Source organism: Homo sapiens, chromosome 5, assembly GCF_000001405.40.
Source record: "Homo sapiens chromosome 5, GRCh38.p14 Primary Assembly".
NCBI classification, from domain to species: Eukaryota; Metazoa; Chordata; class Mammalia; order Primates; family Hominidae; genus Homo; species Homo sapiens.
In genome coordinates, this window is record NC_000005.10 from 41,862,766 (window position 1) to 41,888,724 (window position 25,959).

At 38.6% G+C, this 25,959-nt stretch overlaps 1 protein-coding gene and 2 long non-coding RNA genes across 10 annotated transcripts in view, besides 2 other annotated features; 2 read left to right on the forward strand and 1 right to left on the reverse strand.

Moving 5' to 3' along the window:
* The window catches only part of OXCT1 (3-oxoacid CoA-transferase 1), a 140,361-nt gene extending 132,701 nt beyond the window's left edge, over window positions 1–7,660 (reverse strand). For 5 of the 6 annotated variants that reach the window (NR_157114.2, NM_001364301.2, NM_001364302.2 and 2 more), the window contains exon 1: window positions 7,516–7,660. Coding sequence is in view for 5 of the 6 variants with exons in the window: in NM_001364301.2 (NP_001351230.1) it covers window positions 7,516–7,593 (78 nt within the window). In the remaining variant the exon portion in view is untranslated. Of the gene's footprint in view, window positions 1–6,879 lie in introns of all 6 variants that reach the window. The other variant, NM_001364300.2, reaches the window with a different exon arrangement.
* LOC102723752 (uncharacterized) lies at window positions 423–17,050 on the forward strand. 3 transcript variants are annotated; one of them, XR_925956.4, is made up of 3 exons: window positions 423–6,837; window positions 14,489–14,630; window positions 16,931–17,050. It is a non-coding gene; the product is annotated as an uncharacterized LOC102723752 (long non-coding RNA). The 3 variants fall into 3 exon arrangements; XR_427695.4 differs by having other exon boundaries at window positions 6,228–6,307; XR_007058750.1 differs by having other exon boundaries at window positions 6,228–6,268.
* OXCT1-AS1 (OXCT1 antisense RNA 1) lies at window positions 7,265–9,476 on the forward strand. The gene is made up of 3 exons (NR_046635.1): window positions 7,265–7,427; window positions 7,526–7,617; window positions 8,001–9,476. It is a non-coding gene; the product is annotated as an OXCT1 antisense RNA 1 (long non-coding RNA).
* Window positions 7,297–7,376: an enhancer, noted in NCBI's record as "active region_22506". NCBI's record gives its function as "activates an Ori minimal core promoter by ATAC-STARR-seq in GM12878 lymphoblastoid cells {active_cell/tissue: GM12878}" and the evidence as "EXISTENCE:reporter gene assay evidence [ECO:0000049][PMID:35858748]".
* Window positions 8,207–8,256: an enhancer, noted in NCBI's record as "active region_22507". NCBI's record gives its function as "activates an Ori minimal core promoter by ATAC-STARR-seq in GM12878 lymphoblastoid cells {active_cell/tissue: GM12878}" and the evidence as "EXISTENCE:reporter gene assay evidence [ECO:0000049][PMID:35858748]".
* Window positions 17,051–25,959: the final 8,909 nt, after the last annotated feature.

Here is a 25,959-nt window from a genome sequence, read left to right on the forward strand (position 1 = left end):
AAAAAAATTGATAATCATTTGGAGATACAGCTTTACTTTGTGTGTGTAGCAATTTATTCAATTGATAGACAAATGATAATTTCATTATCTCCTTTATATATACACGTTTTTAATTGCCAGGTAATAACTGTATATAATGTATATATTTATACAGGTAATACATGTATATATTTATGGCATACATGGTGTTTTTATATGGATAGTAGACCCCCCTTATCCACAGTTTCCCTTTCTGAGGTCTGTCACCCCAGGAAAGTACGGTACAATAAGATTTGAGAGACAGAATGCATTCTTATAACTTTTATTACAGTATATTGTTATAACTGTTCTATTATTAGTTATTGTGACTAATGTCTCATAGTCTAATTTGTAAATTAAAATGAATGATACACATATGTAGGAAAAACAACTTATATAGGGTTTGGTACTACCCACAGGTCAGGCATCCACTGGGGTTTTGGAACATATTCCCCTTGGATAAGGGAGGATACTATATACATTGTTGAACAGCTAAATCAAGCTATTTATAAATGCACACACTTTTTTATGGTAAAAACACTTAAAAATCTCTAAGCAATTTTCTAGTATAAAATATATTATTAACCATAGTCGCCATGGTGTTCCGCAGATCTCTTGAATTTATTCCTCCTAAATAAAATTATGTATCCTTTGACCAACATCTCACCAACCCCTCACCCCCAGCCTCCATAACCACCATTTCACCTTTCTGTCTGTGATACTATCCCCCTCTTCAAAAGCCTGGCGCTTTAAGTGACTCATACTTAAAAGTAGGATGGATATTTTATCCACAGATTATCACTGAAGTCCCCTTGTAACAGATGTCTTCTATTACATAAGGGAAAGTTCTAACTCCATCATTTGTGGCCACCCAAAAGAATGAAAGTAGAAAGAAAAGTCCATATACTGGAATTCAAATTCATAGCAATGGTGTCATCAAGCATCAGTTTCTGGTAACCCAATCTTCCATTAATCAACAAGTATTTACTGTAAACCCACCATGTGTCAAGTCCTGTACTATTTATTCCAACACAGTTAAGTATTAAGACATGAGCACTGCTCTCTAAGAAATTAAAGCCAATATGAACAAAACACATACCTACAGAGTTGGGCCCCAGGTTCAATCTTAAATGTCAAAGAATGCCTCCTAGAGGGACAAAAACACCTTACAAAACAACTCATCCTCCTATGGGGCTTAAGGTTTATGGAGGCTACATAAAAGGAACAAACCATTATCTACAAGGAAGGTAAGTCTAGCCTTACCACTGTGTACTATTTGGTCCCAAATGAGTCACCTAGTGAATATTCATGAGCAATCAGTTGTAAACTTTTCCCTTTCCCCTACTTCATCCACACTATGCACAAAAGAAAACAAGAAAGCAGATTCTGTAGCAATCATTCATACTCAATATCACCTCTCCTTTATTCTCACTATACAGCCAGGCTAAAAAGAAAGAATAACATCTGAATCCTGATATACTGCTACCTTAACATGCCAGTTATGAGCTCACATCCACTGCCTAACAGTCTCCCAGACAGACACAACCTGAAGTGGTCAAGGTGACAGCATAAATATCCATCATTCTTTTCTTCCCCTAAAAATATGCCAGCACACTGCTCAAACCCTGAGAAATAAGTCTAGGCAGAGACAGAAAGGGCTTGAGCCACAAAGAGTTTTCCCTCTTTTCTATTCATCTGCTTCTGTTTTAAACATATATTTTTTAATATATTAGAAATTACAAGTGTGATAGCCTGAATAAACAGGCCAACAGAAGGATCGTAAGATAAAGTTGAGGATATCTCCTAGACACACTTAAAAAGTGCATATATCTAATCCAACCAATTCATTTCACAGGTCAAATTTTTGAAGCTTAGAAGGATCTTGTACTTTACCCAAAACTGTATTAAAGCAAGACCAGATCCAAGGTTTTATTTGGCCTTCTACCTCAGGGCCTTTCTACTACAATATGCTTCTCTCCATGTTTTTTGAAACCTCTCATACTCCACTTCTCATTTTTTGATATAAAATAAATCTTTGTGAGTGTTCTATTTCTTCCTGTATAACTCTGCTGTCATTACCTCCACCCAAAAGTGAAGAGTCAGGCCCTTATAGCTGGAAGGGGAAGAAAATTAAAGAGTTCATCCACAGCTCAACAGTCTGTGCAGTAAGATCACCCTAACTATTTCAATATGCTGAGAAACACAAATCCCACATAGAGAGGAAGTTGGAAGAAAACTCATTTCCCCTATATACCTATAGAGGCTTTTTACATTAAGGTATCCATTCCCTCAAGCATTTATCCTTTGAGTTACAATCCGAATACACTTGAAGCTATTTTTAAATGTACAATTAAGTTGCTATTGACTATAGTCACCCTATTGTGCTATCAAACAGAAGGTCTTATTCATTCTTTCTAATTTTTGGTACCCATTAACCCTCACTACCTCTCCCCTGCCCACAAATAAAAGCATATAACTACAGGCTTGTCAAGAATTCTATTTTTTTGTTTCATCTGATAGTTTTCACTACAGTTAGAAATTACCAAAGAGCTTGCCACACTCTCTGCAAAAAAATATACTTCAAAAGTATTTTAGGGAAGACATGTTTACCCAGATAATCAAAAGTTAAAAGCATAAAGTGAAGATGTTTTCCAGGTAATCTGAGAAGGGCTCAAGACAATGAAGAACCTGCAGGTACTTGTTTTTTTCATTATTCATATATTCAGTTAACAATATTTGTTGACATTTGATATCTATTTACTAACAGGTCAACTTATACTACAACAGATTGTATCCTAAGAAACCCAACATCTAGTTTAGGAGATAGTGTGCCATAATAGATCATGCTCTTGGGATCAAAAAATACCCTTGCTTCAAATTCCAATTCTGCCACAGTTGTATGAATCTAGGAAAATTACTTAACCACTGCATCTCTTTTTCATGGGGGGAGAAGGTATTTTAAGTTTACAAAAAGATGATAATTGTTTTCTAGGAATGTAGTAAGGATCAAATGATGTTATATACAGAAGCCCTGTTGCAGGACTATAGAAGATATCCAGGGGATACTAGCTTCCTTTGGAAAATGCAAACTTTTCTTCATTCTCCACTAGGGCAGTAAGATCAATTTGTCATTTATTGGAGTTTAGTTTTAATTTTAATTGTATATAAATGTATATATTTATGCAGGTAACAAATGTATATATTTATGGCATACATGGTGTTTTTATATGTACAGTAGACCCCCCCCCCCACCGCTTATCCACAGTTTCCCTGAGGTTATGTATGTATATAACATATTCTGATGTTATATACAGAAGCCCTGTGCCTGGACTATAGAAGATACTCAGGGGTTGTTAGCTTCCTTTGGAAAATGCAAACTTTTCTTCATTCTCTACCAGGGCAGTAAGACCAACTTGTCATTTATTGGAGTTTAGTTTTAATTTTTAACCACCTCACTCTACCCTATACACACACTCCACTGATTTTACAAAGAATGTTTTTAAACACAATTCATACTGTAGCAAATTAACCCAGGTGATCTTTGTTGAAGGTTTTCAAAAAGACATAGGCCTTAGCTTTAAGATTACTTTCACATGAGGTGATATTTATTTTGTCACCTTACAGTTAAATAAATGACAAGGAACAGCTGATATTGTCCAAGTATCACAGTTTGAGAAACAAAAGTGGGGAGAAGTTATATGGAGAGAAGTAAAGAGATACACGTTATAAAGAAAAGGCAGTAATATGTGAGTGGATACACTCACAGACCTGCAGAGCACGGCATCACTCCCAAGAGGTAGTGATGTGTGTGAAAATACTTTAGCTGTCCAGAAGAGGACCGGTGTCTACCAAAGGTAGAATTTTCACCTTGAACTAAACACTGCCAATTATGCACATGTGACAAGAATAAATCTCAAGGAGCTCACAGAGAGTTACAACACTAGGCAATTCTCTACAGCAGTGGTGTGCATTGTTATTGAGGGAACATACATGTTCTTCTCCAATGCTGGAGGGATACTCAGTGCTCCGAAGGAGCACAGATGAAGGAGTAATTCATTCTACCTGGTGGACTAGAAAACCAAAGTTTGCCAGGTGTTAAATACTTGTCAGGACAGTGATTCCAAACAAGGGAGCCACATGAGTAAGAGTTCAGCGATATGAAAAGGCTGTGTGGTTACAGACATGCGGGATCAGGTCTCATGGAGAGAGGTTCATGAAGATGAGGCTGGAGAAGCAGACTGAGGCAGTTTGTAAAAAGCCTTACAGACCACACTGCAGAGTTTCTTTTTTCTTTTCTTTTTAATTTTTTTATTTCCATAGGTTTTTGGGGAACAAGTAGTATTTGGTTACATGAGTAAGTTCTTTAGTGTTGATTTGTGACTTGATCATTCCATGACGAAGGGACAGCAAAGCTTTTGAAACAGATGTCACAACTCAAAGGAAGCCTGAATTAAGAAAGTGGTATGGAAACTCATTATTTCTTTCCTTCACTCATTTGTACCAACTATACAAAATACTGGGGCTACAAAGTTAAAATATTGAAAATAAAACCCAGACATAGCCCCTGCTATAATGAAACTTACAAACTAGCAAAGATAGTAGTCATTAAATAATTACAAAATTTTAAACACAATCATAGTATTTAATTGGGGAGCTATAAGGAAGAAACAGTTGCTGAGAAAGAATGCCAGGGACAGCACTGAGGAACATTTCAGAAAGAGGCACACATATGACACTTGGTGATCAATTGGAAGTGCAGCAAGGAGAAGAGAAGATGGTTCCAGGATTTCCAGCTTATATACTGGATGGATACTGGTGCTGTTAAGCACAGTGATAGAAGAACAAAACAAGGAATGGGAAAGCCACTTTATGGCTAGTTTGCTTTGGATCAGAAAGAGCTTTAAGCACCAACTGACATCCAAGTGAAGTTCACCAGTTGCACCAGAAGGACTGCAGCTCAGGAGAGTCAGAGGTTGGAAAGAGATTTGGGAAAAGACAGGGTCAAGGATGAATGGTGGGTAAAGTGTTAGTGGTACTCTTATAACCTTTTTCCCACTAATAATTTTCTATAGTGAAAATAGTATTAAATGCTCCCCACTGCCCCTCAGTAATAATGAAGAAAAGAAGATACCTCCCAATAGTCTATTTTCACCTAAGTCCATGCCAGATAACTCTGAAAGGGGCAGTCAGTCCCCAGACCAGCAGCATCAACATCACCTGGAACTTATCAATGCAAAGTTTAGGGCCCCACCCAGGACCTATTAAATTAGAAATTCTGGGGGTGGGTACAGCAATCTGTTTTAGAAAACCTCCAGGTAATGCTGATGCACTCTCAGGTCTGCGAGACACTGGGCCTGCCCATTATAAAAATGTTAAACATTTAAGAAAATAACTATCTCGTTTTAGCTGTTAGTTATGTTTAGTGGAAAAACTCAAGGTTTCTGTTTGCCTGGAGGGTTCTCTCATCCGTACTTTAAACATGTGTAGAATATCTGATCTATGCAGAGTAGTGTGTTTGTTGAGGGAGACTAAGTGTAAGGCATAAATATGGTCTCTGCCATCGGGGAACTGTCATCTGGTTGAGGAGACAATATACACATCTGAAAAGTTAAACAAGTAGATAAGTGGTACAGTTCAACAGAAGCAGCAGGTGAGGATTTAAAGTGCTAAACAATAAGGGCTGTAATCCCAGCACTTTGGGAGGCCGAGGCGGGCGGATCACGAGGTCAGGAGATCGAGACCATCCCAGCTAAAACGGTGAAACCCCGTCTCTACTAAAAATACAAAAAATTAGCCGGGCGTAGTGGCGGGCGCCTGTAGTCCCAGCTACTTGGGAGGCTGAGGCAGGAGAATGGCGTGAACCCGGGAGGCGGAGCTTGCAGTGAGCCGAGATCCCGCCACTGCACTCCAGCCTGGGCGACAGAGCGAGACTCCGTCTCAAAAAAAAAAAAACAATAAGGGCACTAAGAGCCACAAGCTAGGGGAATAGTGGAAGGCAGGAGTTAGACCTATGATAATCAAGCCTGACAGGGCTAAGTTTGAACTCTGTATGAACTTTTAATGAGATATAGCAGAACCCCTTATTTGCATCTCGTCCCTCTAAGATGAGGTTTGCTGAGCTTCGGAAATGGTTTAATGATATACTCAAGATGGAAAAGACTTGAAGTGAGTAAATTACAGTTGGGCAAATCAGTAACTGTCAAAAGAAGGAACGTTCCTGACCTCGGCCCAAGGGTATCGCTGTGCTCTGGTTTGTATTAGCTTCAGCACCGCTGCAATCTCACTGAAGGTCAAGTTCCCTTTTAATAATGCTTTATATATCCAAGTCTATCTGCAGTTATAAAAATGCTTCCTAAGAGGCATTTAAGAGTAAAATGGTCCAGTTCTGAACCATTCCCTAGCACCTACCGAAGGAGCTCAGTGGCTCCTCTGTGTTCTCAGCGGTCAGGGATTGGATGCAGGAAAGAGCAATGGGGCCAGGCAGGCACGCTTCAGGAGTAAGCACCGTGTGCATGGCACGCTGTCAAGCTCAGACCTATTACTGAATACCAAGGAAGAGGCTCCCGCGATTGAGACGGCGGGGATAAAGCCACCCTCCTGGACCTGGCGCTCTGGTCCTGTAATTCGCTCCTAGGGCTCCAGACAGGGGTGGGCTTACAAGCGAGGACAGTGCATAAGGCAAAACCACAAGTCAGTCCACGGTGGGAATGCCTCCGGATACCACTCGGTGGAGAGTCGGCAGTGGGGCACAAAAAGGATTTCAAAGGGCTCTGAAAACCGAAAGCCCCTAACCCGGATACGAGGGGCCTCGAGAGAAAGGTTTGTCCTCCCCTGCAGCCCAGGCGCGGGCCAGGGACACACCTCGGATGGTTTCCCAGCTTGGCCGGCAAGACGCCCTGGCGAGCGCTCCAGTCTACGGGGCAGCAGAGCCAAATAGGGAGGAGAGGATGGGAGCGGCATTCCACACCCGCCGCACCCGGCATCCAGCCCCGGTGAACTCGAGCAGAGCCATGGCTAACCCAGCCTCAGGTTCTGGGCCTCTAGAGGTTCCTCTGCCCAGAGATCCAACATCGGGGGCGCAAACCTACCCGCTGTTGCCTCACTCCTAAACCTCCATATACTGGCGCCCTCCTCCCCCCGTTCAGACCCTCAGAGTCCCTATCCAAGGGCGGGTGCCAGGAGGGAAGCCGACGAGCGCCAAAGGGCTCGGGAGCGCTGCCAGGAGTCCTCCCGCCCCTTCTCAGCCTCTCCGCGCGCTTCTTTATCGCGTCTCGCTCCATCAGGGAAGCGACTGCAGAACCAAGCAAAGGCGGTCATCCGAGGGGCCGGCGAGGCCAGGAACGCGTCGCCGCGTGTCCGTGACCAGGGCACCGCGCCACGGATGCCAGATCCCAGGCTGGAGAGAGCGGGTAGGGGCAGAGAAGAAAACGCGGGCACCACTCAGGGTTTGGTCCACGTTCTTCCTGCCCATGGCCTTCCTCTTCCCCCGCACTTTACCTTGTACCAGGTTGCCCCAGATCCGCGGGCAGAGGCGCAGAGCCGAAGCCCGGAGGAGAGGAGTTTGAGAGCCGCCATCTTCGGGCGGTGAGGCAGGAGGAGGCTGCGGGTTGGAGCGCGCGTTTGAGCGTCGGTGCGCGACTGCGAAGGAAACCCGGGCGGGCTGGAGGCTCGACAGCGCGTCGATGACGTCCTCCCGGCCTTTCGAGCCGCACGCCACCGGCGCGCTGCTGGCTGCTGCTTTTAAAAGAAGTGAGGCTGGGCGGGGCCCCGGCGGGGAGAAGAGGCTCTGTGCAGCCGGGGCGGATCGCGGGGAAGTTCCTCTCAGCGCCTCAGGTGTCTGGGCGTGTGCAGCTGTGTTGGCGCACACTTGCCGCTACAGCCCTTCTGTCAGCCCTTTAGCTTCGATGGGGCGCTGGTGGCCGCCTCCCCCTAGGTTGTGGATGAGTCTTGGCCTAGGGTTCAGGGCCCTCCGGCCGCGGGAGGATCTCCCGCCAAGCTTGTTGCTTTTCCAAGTTAGTGCCTGGCGTGTGTGTGGGCTGCATAGGGGCACCCCTCGAGGCCCCCTTCTCTTCTCCCGCCTGGACTGCGTTCACGTTTCTAACATTTCTCAGCCCCTTCTCCCCACATCTGGCCTTGGCTTACATAGAGTAAGTTTGCTGTGAGCACTTGCCTCGAACTGTCGGTCAAGAGGTGTGAGCAACAAGGCTTGCAGAGGAACAAGATTAAGACTGGACCTCTGTGACCTGAGTTTAGCACACCTTTTCTTCCCCATCATCCAAGTTTGCGAATTTCGGGCTCTTTCTCGCACTGGAGTCCCAGCAACCCCAGAGATTACTAAAGATGCAACCATAAAAGCAGTATATTGCTTTAACCTTAGGCAAGTTAGATAACTTCCCTAAGCCTCAGTGTCCTCATCTGCAAATTAGGATTGCTTGTGATACAACGTCATAACGTTTCTATGAGTTAATTCATGCAAAGTTTATGGCCTTATTATGAGGAGTCAATAAATGTTAGGCATTATTATAAGTTTATTCCATTGTAGCAGTTCATTGACATGGCACGTACATATTCGCCAAGCCTTGTCTTTTGACCAACTCCTTGAGGACATGAGCCACGACTGATTTCTCCAGAACTGTCTTTGCACTTAGCAGAGTGGAAAGACCAAGTGGAAGCTCAATAGCATTTTATTTGATTAAGGCCTGACCAAGTTCTGAGAATGTGATGTTAGTTTTGAACCAAAGCAAAGCACACAAAAATTAAATGAGATCTTAGCTTCCTTAGCAAATACAGTAAGGTAATGAACAGTGAAGATGCAGTTCAAAGTTTGTCCATAAAATCATTTGCCCTTTCATGGTATTCTTTTAACTCTGAACTTTTTTTTTTCCTGTAAATATTATAATTTTAGTCAAAATCAGTTAAGGAGTAAGATACCAAGTTAGACTATTCAATTACACTGGAGAAATTAACTTATTGCTAGTTGGTATTTCAACACATTTTAAGAAGTTGGATTGGGGGGAAATTCAAGTACTGTAACTAAAGTCCCATAACTAGTGATAATTTAGCATATAGCAGCTGTTGTACCTTTAACTTACACAATGTGAAAAAAACTAGCATTCCAATTGAGTCTGCTTTTCCACTTTTGCCCATTGCGATTGGGTCTGCTTTTCCACTTTTGCCCTTCCACAGGGCACATGAAATGGAAAAACTGCATTGGCAACTTTGCCGGTGGTCATATGACTGACTCTTGGCTGGTCTCACTTTGTTGCTCTTGGCTGAGGAAGACACATTTTAAATGTTGCATGCTATGTGACTAAGTCTCCTGAGAAAATCACCCTAATTACTGTATGGTCAAAACACACTGTACTGTATTTTTGATGACTGTGACTTCATTTTATACTTTTTAAATAATGTGCAAGTCTCTTCAACTTGAATAAATTAGATTACAAATTACAAAAAAAGTTCTTATGTGCTGATTTCACTTCTAGTTACACAAAGGCACTTCAATTTTAATTGGTGTGCAAAATTTTACTTCTTTTAAATATCTGAACTTTTCCGAACTAGTAAGGATATTTCCCACTTGCTTTGAAAGGCAGTTTCTGGCAAATATGTTATATTCTGGAAACCTTTCTTTGTGGAATCTTACAGTTTAACTTCCACACTTTTAAAAACTGGGAGAATTGGATTCAAAGCCTTTAAACAAAAGGTCTGATTCCAGTCATGCAATGAGGAAAGATTTTTTTGTTTGTTTTTTTGTATTTTTTTTTGTTTTTTTGTATTATGTTATGATACGTATGTGTATGTGTGGGTGTGGGTGTACATACACCAAGTCATGTGCTACATAACATTTTGGTCAATAATGGACAGCATATATGATGGTGGTCCCATAAGATTATAATAACATATTTTACTGTAGCTTTTTTATGTTTAGAAATGTTTAGCCATGTGCAGTGGCCCACGCCTGCAATCCCAGCACTTTGGGTGGCCAAGGCAAGTGGATCGCTTGAGCCCAGGAGTTCGAGACCAGCCTAGGCAACATGGTGAAACCCCGTCTCTACAAAAACAGACAAACAAAAAAATTAGCTGGTGTGGTGGAGCACACCTGTAGCCAGCTACTGGGGTGGGGTGGGCAGTGGGGACTGAGTAAGGAGGATTGCTTGAGCCTGGGAGGCAGAGGTTGCAGTGAGCCGAGATTGCTCCTCTGCATGCCAGAGCAAGACTCTGTCTCAAAATAAAAGAAAGAACAGAAAAATTTAAATACACAAATAACTACCATTATGTTACAATTGCCTACTAAATATTGTACAGTAACATGCTGTACAAGTTTGTAGCCTAGGAGCATAAGCCATACCATATAGCCTAGGTGTGTAGTAGGTTAGACCATCCAGGTTTATGTCAGTATATTCTGTATTAGCACAATGACAAAATAGCCTAGCATCTCATTTCTCAGAACCTGTCTTTGTCATTAAGCAAGGCATGACTGTGTGGCACCATTTTATCAGATACATGCAGGTAATGTGTCAGAGTTTATTAGATTGTAAATTATTCTCTGTTTTAAGGAGTTTCATTTTAATTCTCCTAAAATATGATGCATTAGCATATCTCATTAGTGCAAGATATGACATCCTATTCTCACAGTTGATGGTGTACTCCCCAGGATGATAACCAGGGGCATCTGAAGACTTGTTTTTCAAATGTTGATTAACTGGTTTCACTAGAAATAGCAGTTTTTAAGTAGGTCATTTGAGTCACTTATAAAAGTGCATGCGTGCTTCATTTTATCACAATAGTCCTTTAATATATGGAGAACATAGTCCTTCAAACAATTTGCTTCTAGTAGGTTTGAAGGACATAAATCTGAAATTTCACATAAATCTGTAAATCTAAGTATTGTTTTATAGTGCAAGACACCCATTAATTTGCATATTTTGCAAGCTTATTTTCATAGATCCTTTAAAGGAGTCCCTTGTATTAACTAGTGTGTATTTAATATTTGTTCAATGATTAAAGAAAAAATAGATTGATTTTTATAAAGTGTAGTTTTCTCAGAAAAAAAGTAAAATAAATGCATGAGATACTTGGAGAGGGCTTAAGGCCTGGAATGAAATTGAAAATTATGATAAGATACTAAGGAAACCTAAAAGAGTAAAATGCACCAGAGTGATCTTGTATACATTCAAGACTGATCACTTTATTTCTGCTTAAAACCTGTCATTGGTTTTCCCCACTGCCTTTGAGATCCAAAGTTCATACTTAATAACATGACATAGAAGAGGATCATCTCTTCTGGTCTTCCTTTCCCCCACACGTCTGCTTTATATTTCAAACTATATGTGCCTCTTGATTTTTACACAGTGAATTTGCACAACCTCAGAATCAAGTGTTGACAGCAAAATAATAAAGAGCAGGAATTCTGTGGTTAGGCTTCTAGGGTTCAAGTCTCAGCTCTGCAGTCTCTAGCTATACGGCCTTCTGTGGTGCAGTAGTTAAGCAGGGCTTACAGAATGTCAAGATGTAAGGTAATCTCTAGATCAATATTTGCATTATTCAGGTGTTAAAAGATTATACATTATTAATTATTTCCCAGATGCTATCTTAGTCCATTCTTGCTGCTACAACAAAATATCTTAGGCTGGGTAAGTTACAAGAAGAAATGTATTTCTCACAGTTCTGGAGGCTGGAAAGTCCAAGATCAAGGCACCAGCATATTGAATATGTTAAATTAAATTAAATTTGGCCAAAAGCTGCTTCCATACTTTGGAATTCTGCATAGCAAACTGCACCTAAGTTAGTGTTTAAATAAACCTTACTTAAGAGTATGTTCTTGTAACAGATAGCTGAGTCTCAGCTAATTACAGCAGCCAGGTTTCATCCAATCACATACTACCAACTAATAAGACCATGTCCACATAAGGCAAATGCCACATTGCATTGTGCCCAAATAAGGCAAATGCTGGGCCATAATCAATCAAGCTGTTTCTGTACCTCAATTCCTCTTTCTGCCTATAAATACTGCCTGCTCACATTGCTGAGTGGGGCTTTCTGAACCTCTACTGGTTCAGAGTGCTGCCTGATTCATGAATTGTTCTTTGCTCAAATAAACTCTGCTAAAGTTAATTTGTCTAAAGTTTTTCTTTTAACAAGGGTCTGATGAGAGCCTGTTCCTCATAGATTATACCTTCTCTGTGTCCTCACATAATGGAAGGGGCAGAAGACATAAACAGTTCCCTTGTACCTCTTCTATAAGGGCACTAGTCACATTCATGAGCTCTCATGATTTAATCACTCTGAAAAGCCCCATATCTTAATACTATCACACTGGCAATTAAGTGTCAACATATGAATTTGGGGAGGACACATTCAAACCACAGCAGGTGCTTTGGTTACTGAAAACATAAAGTAAACTGAAAAATTTACTTAATAAACTGAAAAAAATAAGGCAAGATTCAAACCCTGGACCATATGTTATTAAAAGCTGCTATTTCTTTATACCTCCCTCTTTCTGAGATATCTTTGAATCTTACCCCAACTCTCCAGTTTCACTCATTCTGCACTACTTCAGGGCCTCAGTTTCAGTTTCTCTCATCTGAATTATTTCAGTTTCCTTCCAAATGAATTTCCATTCTCCCTCAATTTAAACATACTTAAAATTATTATTTCAAATACAGGATCTGGTCTTCTCACATCTTTTTCTAAAATATTTCAAGAAATGCTCAAAGGCTGCAAGTGAAGTCCAACATTCAATTATAGGCAAGATTTTGTTTAATCTAGCCTCAACAAATCATGTGGCCTTAAGGGCTCTGCAGAGGTACTTCAGGGGCTATGCAAACATTATATTTTGAAATTAAATTTTAGATTACATTTTTACTATTCTATCAACACTAACAAAAGGAGCATGCACACTCAATTGTGATCTATCTTTGATTTAAAAGTATTAAAAATTACCAGATTGTGGCTGGGCATGGTGGCTCACACCTGTAATCCCAGCACATTGGGAAGCAAAGGTGGGCAGATCACCTGAGGTTAGGAGTTCCAGACCAGCCTGGCCAACATGGTGAAACCCCATCTCTACTAAAAATAAAAAATTAGCCTGGCATATGGCACATGTACTCCAAGCTACTCTGGAGTCTGAGGCAGGAGAATCACTTGAACCTGGGAGATGAAGGTTGCAGCGAGCTGAGATTGCACCATGTACTCCAGCCTGGGTGACAGAGCGAGATTCCATCTCAAAAAAAAAAACAAAAAACAAAAAAAAAAAAACAGACCAGATTGTGCAGTTGGGAGACAAACCTTAGATTAAAGGTTCCTCATCATCAAATTTCCTATATTTGAATATATAAAATATGTCATTGATAAAGATGTTTGTAGCTCTGTATTTATCTTTTTATCATTTAGACCTCTGCATTTTGACTCACTTAAATTTATATAAGTATATAATACTTTGAGGCTCTGGTCAGAGACATGTACTGCCTAGAATTATTTCTTATCACAGCATTGTAGTTGTTCAAAAAGAGCATATAAAACACTTCATGATAATATTGTACTATAAATAGTTTTAGAGATTATTTTCCATTTTGGCTACATCTTGTCTGACATTTACATATGTGAACAAGAGGTAATTGACATTATTAGTTATTGACCACTGAAGCAAACATTTCCTGCTACTTTTCTTTCAAGCTTCTGATCTACTTTAATTGAAGCATATACTGAAATTCTGGGACAAGCTGCAGTGTGAATCAGAACTTTCTTATTATTGTGCAGCCAAACAGAAATAAAATAAGCAAAATATCAGATATAACTCCATGGCTGCAATATTTAGCTTCTCCGAAGAGCTTCATTATTCTCATTTTTTCCATGTATAACAGGAAAATATTTCACAATTAAAATGATAAAATGCATTTAAACTGTAAAGTACCACTTTTACACATTGTATATGTTGGGTTCTAAATACAATTTTATTTGAAAGGGTGACTCATATTAAATATGTTTGAAAATTATGGCTTTAGCTAAATTCGACTACTTTCTGCTCCCTGCACATACCAAGCACCTTCTGACAGGGAGCCTTTGCTAAAGCCTTTTTTTCTGTGCCAGCTGAGCAAACTCCTACTCCTCTTTCAAGACTCAGATCAAATGTCACTCCTCTGTGTACCTTGACTGTTCACACTCCGAATTCCACCTCTTAAAAAACTATATTCTTTTACTTTGTGCTCTCAGGGCCCTTGGTCACCTGGATTATGAGCTTATTAAGTTTTGTTCATTTTTGTATCTATAGTGTCCTAGGATTTCTTTTAAGCATAGAGCAGTTCAACAAATATCAGTTGTGTTGACTTGACTTGGGTAACCCTTTTTTGCTGCCTTAATACAAGCCATGAACTTAACCTGTGTCTCTCAGCTCAGCTCTTTAAATTGAATACTTTCTTTCTAATCATGATGTGATAGTAGTAATTATTTACATTTTCATTGTCTTTTACAGCTTACTTTGTGCTCACCATCATCCTTTGGCCTTTCTTCTCTAACACAGTTCCTGTATCCAGCCTCATGCTTTGCTGTGCCTGTAACTGTCTTCTCCCCACAGATAACCTGTCATTGAAGTACATGAAGAAAATAGTCAAATAGTGAGTTACAAATTGTACTTCCCTCTTTCAAATGGTCCCTGTTTCCCTCATTATTATTTTCTTCCCTTGTGAATATTCCATTTGGTTAAATCTTTTTCACAATAAAGTAACCCAAACCAAGTATGATATTTTGGCTACATGATCCCGCTGTTTATGTTCCCAGACAACCAGTAACACCTGCAATAATACATTTCAAAAAAAATACTGCCAAGAGATTGTGACACCCTGGCTCAGTAGAATACATCAGGGTCACTTATAAATATCCAACCACAGAGAAATGATTCATTACATTATAGTGCATCATCTTGAAAAACTATTATGCCACTATTAAAAAGTAAAAATTTCAAATTGTATGTGGAAATGGTTAGGATAAGGGTAAAAGTCAGAATTCAAATTGTATTATATAAGGATTACAACCATGTATTATATGTTTTTGCAAAATAAATGAAAAGACCATCTAAAAGTGAGGAAAAAATCAATACAATGAGGGCAAGAATTTAGGTACTTTTATTTAAACTATTGTACAGCTTTTATTTAACTTTTAAAAGCACTGGACATATAGTTTTAGTATGAGAGTTCTAAATATACATGTCAGATGTATATTTGGTTGCTTGAAAGAGGTATTTGCACACCAATGTTCATTGCACTATTCACAATAGTCAGAATGTGGAAACAACCTAAATGTTGATAAATGGATGAATAGATAAAGAAAATGTGGTATATACATACAACAGAATACTGTTTAGCCTTAAAACAGAAGAAAATCTTGCCATGTGTGACAACATGGATGAGCATTGAGGATATTATGCTAATTGAAATAAGCTAGTCACAGAGGAACAAATACTGTATGATTCCAATAACAAGGTATCCAGGAGTTCTAGTCAAACTCCTAGAAACAGAGCAGAATGGTGGTTGTCAGGGGCTATAGGGAGGAGGAACTCGGGAGTTCCTATACAGATTTCAGTTACAGAAGGTGAGTAAGTTCTAGAGACCTATACAGCACTATGCCTGTAGTTAGTAATACTGTATCGTATAGTTAAAAACATGTTAAGAGGTTAGATCCCATGTTTAGTGTTCTTACCACAATAATATATATATTATTTGGTTGCCAACTTTTGCCTTCTCTAGTCTGAACCTGTGAACCCAGGGGAATGTTTCAGGATAATAGATGCTGTGTTTCACATCACATACTAATATTTCCTTTGGCTGCCAATTCAGAAAATGGAATAACAGGATAATCTTTCAATATGCACTTCTCTGTAGGCGAATGAGGGTGGTAGCCTTCAGTGAAATAAAGCCATTAAGTTGGAAAACCAAAGAATCAACAATATAGAAATCCCTCCTCACTTGTAAATCATTAATGAACATTAACCATTTACTAGTGGCTTTGAACTGTGACTTGAAACACCGCTACTCTCTAGCCAGATCTATATCTATGGGTTTTCTATCTATCTCAGATTTACTCTACAGTCATTTGTTGATGTCTAGGAAAAACCTCCTGAGTGTTAAAATGATAAAACTGATTATTTCACTGGCTACTCCTAAAACATAATCAGTACAAAAGTATTGAACTGCTATTCACTGGAATGCAGCCAGGAAAGTACTGGGAGAAAAGTAAGTGCTATGGTCTGAATGTTTATGTTTCCCTTTCAAAATTCACATGTTAAAATCCTCACTCCTAAAGCAATGGTGTTAGGAAATGAGGCCTTTGTAAGGTGATTAGATCATGGGAGTGGAGTTCTCATGAATGGGATCAGTGCCTTTATCTGTGTCTTTATCACCAAATCTGCTAGTGCCTTGATCTTGGGCTCCCCAGCCTCCAGAATTGTGAGAAATAAAATTGCTGCTGTTCATAACAGCACACTACTGAGTTTATGGTATTTTATTACAGTAACCAAAACAGACTAAGATAACAAGGGTCACAGAATTTGTAATGAGCTTTTAATGACCAGATGTGGAAGAAAGGCAAAGCAAATTTTAACAGCACTCAGACTTCATTCCCCGTTTTCAATAATAAACTTGGATGAAAAATTGGTTTTATATCAATATCTTATGACAATTATGAATCTTCACTATTTTTATTCTCTGCACGTTTTAGAGCAGTGATGTAAAAACTTTTGTTTGTGTCATCAATGTAAATGTATGTGGAAGTTGTATCCTACACGTACATATATATATGTAAAGTATGTATATGTTTATTTTTTATAAATTAAATACATTTACTACAGTACATTTTAAACACAATTTTGAAAGATTAGTTAAAAACAAATATAAACAGACCTTGTTTTATTTTTTTCCAGTGTGCCCATGGGTTTTCCTGAGTACTTCCTACAGGGTATGCAGTCCACTCTGAAGATCACAGCCTAGGACCATAAGTATGCAGTGAATATCTTAAAGACAATAAAGCTCTATCCACAGAATTCTGAGGATGGAGCTGATGCTGGAAAATCAGTATTCTCTTAGGCAATGTTACATCATCTCCTTATAACTATGCTACATGCTCTCAGTATTATTTATATCATCTTTCCTTCCCTTCCACCCAACAGTCTCATTTCAAGAGATTTAACCTAAAAAGATACAAGAACAGGTGCACATATATATATGGACAAGGTTATGCATCACAGCAATTTTTAAAACAGCAACAAAAATAATAGCAATATGGTTAAATGTGTCAATCATGTATTGGCCTATAAAAGTATGCTATTTCATTAGTCTATAGACTAATTGGGCTACAGACTAACCATTAAATGCTTTCCTTCATGTGGCACTATACTAAGTGTTAGGAATTCAATTGTGAATAAGACAACAGACATGGTCCCAGATCTCCGGGAGTTTATGTCTTATGAGGAGATGAAGACTGAACAAGGATACACGCATTCTTATGCAGGGTATTGTCAATGAGAAATACAGAGTGTTAAGAATCTGTGTGACAGGCTGACCCAAGTTGAGGAGGGGTGGTCAAGGAAGACTTACTGTAGGAATCATCTTTAAATTAGAATCTTAAGAATCAGAAGAAATACTAGGTGAAAGGAGAGTGGGAAACATTGCAGTTAGGACAATGTATACAAATCATTGACATTGAAAAAAAGTATGGTGGGTATAAGAAATAAAATCCAGAATGAGTAATGGTGGACAGGGTACAGGTTTTGTAGGACTTTGTAAATTATGTTAAGGATCTGTTGACAAAAAGAGTCAAACTCTAAAATATTTGAAGATAATAATTTTGAGCCAAATATGAGTGACCAATGGCCCATGACACAGTGCTCAGGAGATCCTGAGAACATGTGCCCAAGGAGGTCAGGCTACAGCTGGACTTTATACATTTTAGGGAGACATAAGATATTAGTCAATACATAAAAGATGTACATAGGTTTGGTCCAGAAAGACCAAAAGTGGGGGTTTCCAGGTCATCAGTGAATTCAAAGATCTGATTGGCACTTGGTTATTGTCTAAAAACTTTGAACCAATAGAAAGGAATGTCTGGGTCTTCAAGATTAGGGGCTGTGGAGACCAAGGTTTTATCATGCAGACAAAGTCTCCAGGTAGCAGGCCTCTGAGATAATAGATTGTAAATATTTCTTACCAGACTTAAAGAATCTGTTCTATGAGTAATTCCAAAAGGGTACAGGATATAATGATGCATGTCTGGCTCTCCCTTCATATCATGGCCTGAACTAGTTTTTTCAGGTTAACTTTGGAATGCCCTTGGCTGAGAGGAAGGATCCATTCAGATGACTGCATGGCTTAGAATTTTATTTTTGGTTTACATTCTCTCCCTTCTGGCCAATATTTGCCAGATGCAACATCAGTGGCCACCAAACTTTTATTTTGTCCCATAGCATTGCCAGGGTGGCATGGCTGCCTGCCCCAGGTCCATCCTGCCCCTCAGTTGAACCCCAATGGCCAAGAGACTTAGTGCCAAAAGACTTATAGCTAGATTAAATGTTCTAGGCTAGACAGGAATGGACGTGGACAGGCATTTATTAACTCTTACATTTTTTTTAAGTAATATAACAGCGAACAAACAAAAAGCCTAAAGCAAGGATACAAAATTGACTTACCTTTAACTTCTATGCATTGAACTATTGTAATCTCAGCTTTAGTTACAGACTTGTAGCAATTAGCATAAAAACGTAGCATAATAAAACATAAGCGTTGGTAAAACCTTTTAAGCTAAGGAATTTAGGGATTTTGTTATGTCACAATGCTTTTTGCAGTCTTTTAGTAATTTGTTCTAAGATGGCTAATAAAATTTTTTAAATAAATATATACATATATATATATGCATGAATCACACAACTGGGAGTATTATACCCAGGAGACTTTGTCATGAGGTATCTTTATAGCCTTTCAGTAATAATTTTATTTTAATTCTATAGGAAGCAGTAAATTGTTTATAGTTGGGATGGATGAAAAGGTGCCACATAGTAGCTCAGAAAGCAAAGTTCCTTATTTTCCAGCTGTTTAGGCATTTGTGTACCCATCCTTGATTTGCAGGGTCTGAACAAATTCTATTCCTCAAAACCGGCCCTTAAAATCTCACATGCCCACCACTTTTGCAGTAGTTTCTGGACCTGGAGGGAGAGTTCTTGTATAGTTTTAGCAGCAGGAGATTTGTAGTGAAAAACAGATTGGGCCCAGTGGGATTCCAAATGAGTGTAATTCAAAGGCTTTGTCAAATCATCTCTGGTCTTCAAAATACCACAATTCTGGTTTTCTTGGAAGGAGTAAAGCTGTGAGAGATAAATAACATTAATAATTTGACAATTAAAAAGAGAATGTATGTGTCAGAACAGAAAAAGTGACCTATTCGATTAGGGTGCTAACAAAAAACATGGAGAAAAATTATAACCTGGTTCATCTTTAGAGGATTATTATAGCTAAGGAATAACTCATGATTTAATCTGCAATCAAAAGAAAAGTCAGGGCTACAATCTAGTAACAGGGGTTATAGTTTTCCTTTAAAATAATTTTTCTTTCCAGCCCTCCTTTTCTACTAAGGAAAAGTTATAGTAAGACCAATTTGTGTGTAAAATAAGTTTTAGGCTTATTACACTTGGCCTGACTTTTCGCATAAAGTGCAGGAGGAATTGATTGGTCATATAGGCTCTTATCAAGTTGGCTTTGCTGGAACCTTACCTAAAAATACTTATTCTAGCCAAAACCTTGGTAAAATAACTAGTGTCTCCAATTGTCTTATTTTAAAAGAAAATACTCTTACTAAATTTATGCAAATAACTATTGTCATAAAATCACAAGCAGTGTTTAAATTTTGGAGAACTCATAGAGAGAAAGGTACATTTGTTCACAGAAACATACTTTACCCAATTGCTTTAAACTATAACTAACTCACTAAATACCACATGTTCTCACTTATAAGTGGGAGCTGAATAATGATAATGTTAGTGACAATGAGCCACACGGGTCTAGAGCAACCTCAATTCTTGCCTTTTCAGAAGAAAGAATTCTACCGAGGAGGCATAAGGCAGAAGGAGAGATCAAGGCAAGTTTTAGAGCACGAATGAAAGTTGACTAAAAAGCTTTAGAGCAGGGACAAAAGAAAGTACACTTGGGAGAGGGCCAAGCCAGCAACATGAAGAACAGGTGCGTGGTTTGACCTTTTGACTTGGGGTTTTATACGATGGCATGCTTCTGGGGTCTTGCATCCCTTCTCCCCTGATTCTTCCCTTGGGGTGGGCTGTCTGCATGCTCAGTGGCCTGCCAAAACTTGGGAGGTGAGCATGCAGAGTGTATTTACTGGAATTGTTTGCATGTTCTCTTGAGGCATTATTCCCTTACCAGTGAAATGTCCCTAGAAATTCATATAGAATGTCATATACCAGTTAAGCTCCACAATTTTTGCCTCTTACTGTGCATGCTTGAGCTCACTAGCCCAACTACTGAGATCTTATCAGGAAGCTGCTGATGGCCAGTTTCAGGCGTTTTTATCTATTGGGAGACTGCCTTTCCCTGGCCCTGGCTGTGACCAATTACTATTGTTGAGACAGAGTTTAATAACCTCCTGACCATCACCTGATAGTTGCCAGACAATCCTGGTGGTGCGGGGGAGCTCGCCTAGCCTGCTCATGTCAGACTAGCTACTTACTATAACAAGAACACATGGACACATAGAGGGAAGCAACACACACTGGGGCCTATCAAAGGGTGGAGAGTGAGAGGAGGGAGATGATCAGGAAAAATAACTAATGGGTACTAGGCTGGGTGATGAAATAATCTGTATAACAAACACCCATGAGACAAATTTCCCTATGTAACAAACCTGCACATGTACCCCTGAACTTAAAATGAAAGTTAAAAAAAAAATTTTACTCATGTCTGTAATCCCAGCACTTTGGGAGGCCGAGGCGGGCAGATCACTTGAGCTCAAGAGTTCAAGACCACCCTGGAAAACATGGCAAAACCCTTTCTTTACAAAAAAATACAAAAATTCGCCAGATGCAGTGGTGTGGGCCTGTATTCCTGGCTACTTGGGAGGCTGAGGTGGGAGAATTGCTTGAGCCTGGGAGGCAGAGGTTGCAGTGAGCCGGGATTGTGCCACTGCACTCCAGCCTGAAGTGCCAGAATCTGTCTCAAAAAATTTATAAGTAAATAAAAATACATGACTCAAAAGAAAAAGATTTCCTTGATTCTTATTTAACCAGAGCTGCAGCCTTCCAAAGAAAATATCTCTTTGGTCACCTGGGCACTGCCATTCACAAGCCAAGCAGCTTTACACGTCTTTAGTTTTATAGTACTAGATGGGGAAACATCCCCCAGTCAGATACAATACCCATTTTCATAAGATGTTTAGGCAAAGGAGTCACAACCAGTTTACATAAAGGATGTTTAAACATCTCAAATTTCATAATTTCATAATCCTTTCAACCTTTACATTTTTATGTTCTGGTCCCAGGAAATTTTCTTCTCTACTGCCAGATCATTTTACCTTTTCTGGTGAAAAAAATTTGGGCTCCTAGCAGGGAGTTGAGCCAAGGAACTCAGGCCCTTTTTTGCAGTCTATATCTATCTTAATTTGCCTCAACATTGCCCCAGGCAATGTCAGCTTTCTCATTATAACCTTCGCCTTTTGATTTTTTTTTAAATTTCTTCAATCCAGGGCAAATGCAGACAACTAGTTTGAGGTCCCATAAATGTTGGGGAACCAGCAGGGGTTCCCCATTGGTCCACCCAACCTTTGATTGTTATTAACCCCATCCATTTTTATTTTATTAATTTCATTTCTTAATAATCATCTAAATCTTTAGATGATTATTAAGTCAAAGGATTCATCCCTTCTGGGACGTCCCCTTCTGGGACTAGTCCTTTGACTCCCTTTCTCCTGTCTCCTTTTTTGTTTTGTTTTGTTAATTATCCTAATGTTTTATTAGCATCTGTAAGAATTTGATAAGGCTTCTCAAACAGTTGTTTGATTCAGTAGTAGTAATGTCACCCACGGTGCCCATGTAGAAGGGGCCCTCTTAACCCCAGCATTTATCATGACCTGGGTAATAGGCATATGAAGTGGGAGAATATCCCACTCATCATAAAGCCAGTCCCACACGGCTTGAATATGAAGCATATAAGCTGCTTCATCTGGGGTGTTCCACTTGGCAATTTATAGGGATAGTTAGGAATTCCCCTTCTCAGGGTAAACAGAAATTAAGGTGGTGTTTATTCTGTCCAATAGGCTGGTCATTCTCTCAGGAATAATCTCTTGTGCACCTGGATCATATGTACTCATCAGCAATTGTTTAATAGTGAGCTGTGGGTCATGCATCAACCCAAACATGCTCTTTTATTCTGTTGCAGTTAAAACTAAAGATACTGTCCATAAAGTAGTATTTTTACAGTCCATTATAGTAAAGGTTTCTCAGGAAGCTGAGGATAACAATCTACAAAATGAAACAATTCCTTTGCATTATACACTATGGTTTTAATAGTTACTTGGTTTTTGCCCTTTTCACACATTGATTATCTTTTTAGTAACTACAGGTCTCAGAGGTAACTTTTGTTACCCTGGCTTAATTTTTCCTTATGTGGGTAGCTTTGAGGCTGGTGGCCTGAGCTGAGACAGACTCTGATCTGAGCTTCCTCCAGCCTTAGGGCCCAACCCAGCACTCTCTTACTTTCATTTTAGCTATTACAGATAACAATAAATAAGAGATTGAATGTTTTTTTTTTTTTAATTAGTTTTCATTTCCTTATGCATTCAGTAAACTAACTCCCTGGGAGTATGAGTATAATCCATCTCTAAATTCCATTGGGAACTTTTACTCTTTTGTAATTGAATGCAGCCCAGCTGCAGCTCCTTAAGATGTGTGACCATGTGGCTACCCAAGTGTCAGGGTTTCTTATTCCCCACCTTTCAATTTTTCTCTTTATCCATTTAGTTTTATTTATATAATTTTTTTCTTTATTTTAAAGTGACAGCCTCTAAACTAGAAAAAATACATTTCTTTTAGCAAAAATCACATCCTTGTGTTTTTATGAACTTCATCAAAAACACTTTTAACTCATCCGCTATTTTAACTCTTAGTATAACTCAAATTCCCAGTGGAAAAAAATTGAGGTAACTTAATTTAACATGACTCTAAGATTTCAAACCACTGGAGAGAATTTTGAGATTAAATTTATCAAATTAATCTTTTCAAGTATAACTATAGTCATACAAACTAAAAGTCATCAGAGGTAGATTGCTTTTATTAGTCTGATAAGCATTTACTTTTCTTCAAGCCAATTGATTAGGGCTCTCATAGAATTTGATAGTGAAGTATCACTTCCGCATGACACATATAAACATGTAGACATAAGGCAGATCCTATGAGATTTTTCATTTTCCTGTTTTTAAAAATTCTCACCCTTACTTTAGACTACTAATTTTTTAAAAAAATTAAAAACAAACATTGAAGAAGAGAATTACCACCACAGGCCTTCTCAAAAGGGAGCTGAAGCAGCAGTATACAGCAGAAGTTAAACTGAAATATCAATATGAAGAATTTCAAAAAGAAACAGATTATATAGTTTAAAACTTAAAATCTTCTTGTATTATGAGTAAGTCAATTTCAATAAAATATTGTTCTAACCAATCCTTTAGTTTTGTATTAGTGTATTTTTAATATCAAAGTTGAGTTTCCAGAAAGACTTAAAATTTCCCTTTATTATAGCCAACTTAATTATATAACTTTTTAAAATAAATTTTTTAACTAACCTATTAAAATGTACACAGACCATTTACAACATGTTTGGACTTTCTGGTTTATCCTAAAAACCCCTCTTTCTTTAACAACTAGTCATTTTATTTTAGGATAAAAATTTATCATACAAGATTCTTTCTCATAGCCTTTTCTACCAAAAATACTTCTTTATATTTATAAGTTTCTTTACATCCATCTCCTAGTTCCTTCTACCTTGTTTTATATATAACCTTTAAATAGTTTTTGAATTAGATAAAAAGTATTTACATTTTAATAAGAACACTGTTTTAGAAAAATATTTTTCTATAATTTTTAATTGAAAATTACCCAAACATTTAATGAATATTTATTATTTAAAATAACTTTAGATTCTAAATTTGTATGACAAGTTTGTTTGCAAGCATTTATTCCATTACATTTACCCAATTATTTATTTTTAATAGCTTACCTAGATTATTCATGAAAACTGTGATAGTCATCATTTAGTGTTATTTCCCTGTTAACCATTTTTATAGCCTATGAATTTCAGGTGTTTACCTATGTGAGAAACTTAAGGTTAAATATATGGGTATTTTACCAATAACTTAGGATTTAGCTATTTTCATTAAACCAACAATATTAAAAGTCTCCTATATCAAAAAATACACAAGCAAAGATCATTCTGTTTTGAGCTGGGTTTATACTTTTTTAATTCATTTGGCAAGTTTTGACACCTTATAGTATCTGTCAGGGTACATATGAAACTGCTTAATCAATAAATGCAAACAAAAATGCTGACAATTCTTAAGACATCTCTAATATTACTTTACCAATAATTTTAAAGCCAGGTTATTTATTAAAGATTTTAGTTAAGTCACATGAACTTAAAAAACATTTGGGCTTATTATTCACTTAATTTATGACTACTCCTTAACTTTAAGCCAATTTGGTACCTTGTGGTAACAACACATAAAATACAGTATGTAAACATAAATACATACATAGGCACTCATAAAAAGATCATATAGCTTTTACTTCAGAACTCCAGCCATGAGATGCTAATACAAACTCATCAGTTTAAAAAAAAAGTGATTGGATCCAAACAGTCGTTTTTATCTCAATAGAAGAGTAACAGCAGAAAAGAAAATAGAGAACTTAGGAACTCTATAGTTAGTTGAAGGTCAGCCTCTGGACTCCAGATTTTCCCTTGATGTAATTTGTCCATGAGTTTAAAGTGTGCACAGCAGACCATGATATGTACAGAGCTAGAAAAACTGGCATGCCCTGGAACCTTTCCATTTTACACAAACACTTGCAAGTAGAGGTGCCATAGAACCATTGAGGTGCCTGAAAGGGGGTCGTTCTCATTATCTTTCTTCATTCTTAGATTTTCTCTTTCTTACCTTTTTTTCCCTAAAAGAAGTATCTGAGTTGTGGCTTAGGGTTTAGTGTGGCGGATCAATGTGTGCTGATTGTGGGCAGGATTCCAGTGTTTCACCACTGAATCATTTTTGCCCTCTTACATATTTCAGTTTCTCTCTCTTGAGGTCTAGCACCTTTGAGATGGTCCAAAACACATAGTGATCAGGTCTTACATGTGTTTCCTAGATAAGGCTTTTTGAACTAAGTTTTTGGGGAGGTTCTCTGTAGGGCCACCATATGTCATGGGGGTCAATGCCCCAGATACTCCCATTCAGCCTGTGGTCACCCAGGGGTGCCTTTCCGCTGAGAGGAGCAAAATGCTCCTTTTCTTCAGAGCTGAGGAGCTCAGTGTCTTATTTATCTGTGAAAATAACACTTCAGTTTCTCATGCCAATGCACAGACAGGTCAACTGAGTTTAATTTGGGGAGAAAAAACAATGGAGAAGACCCTTTAGAATGCACCTTCAAACTGGAAACCAAGTGGGGGGTCTCAAAAGGGGGTCATTCTCCTTATCTTTAGAAAAGGGCAATTAAGAAATCCCTTTAGAATGTACCTCTAAACTAGAAATTAGGATCTTACACAACAACTTCCTTGGGGAAAATAAAACCCAGCTCAGAATAAACCAAGGACCATCAACCAGAGAGAGGTCCAGGGCTCAGGAGGATGTACCTGTTCCACTGGAGAAGATTAAAGTCAGGACTTCGAATGAAATTTGCTTTCTTCTTTGCACATT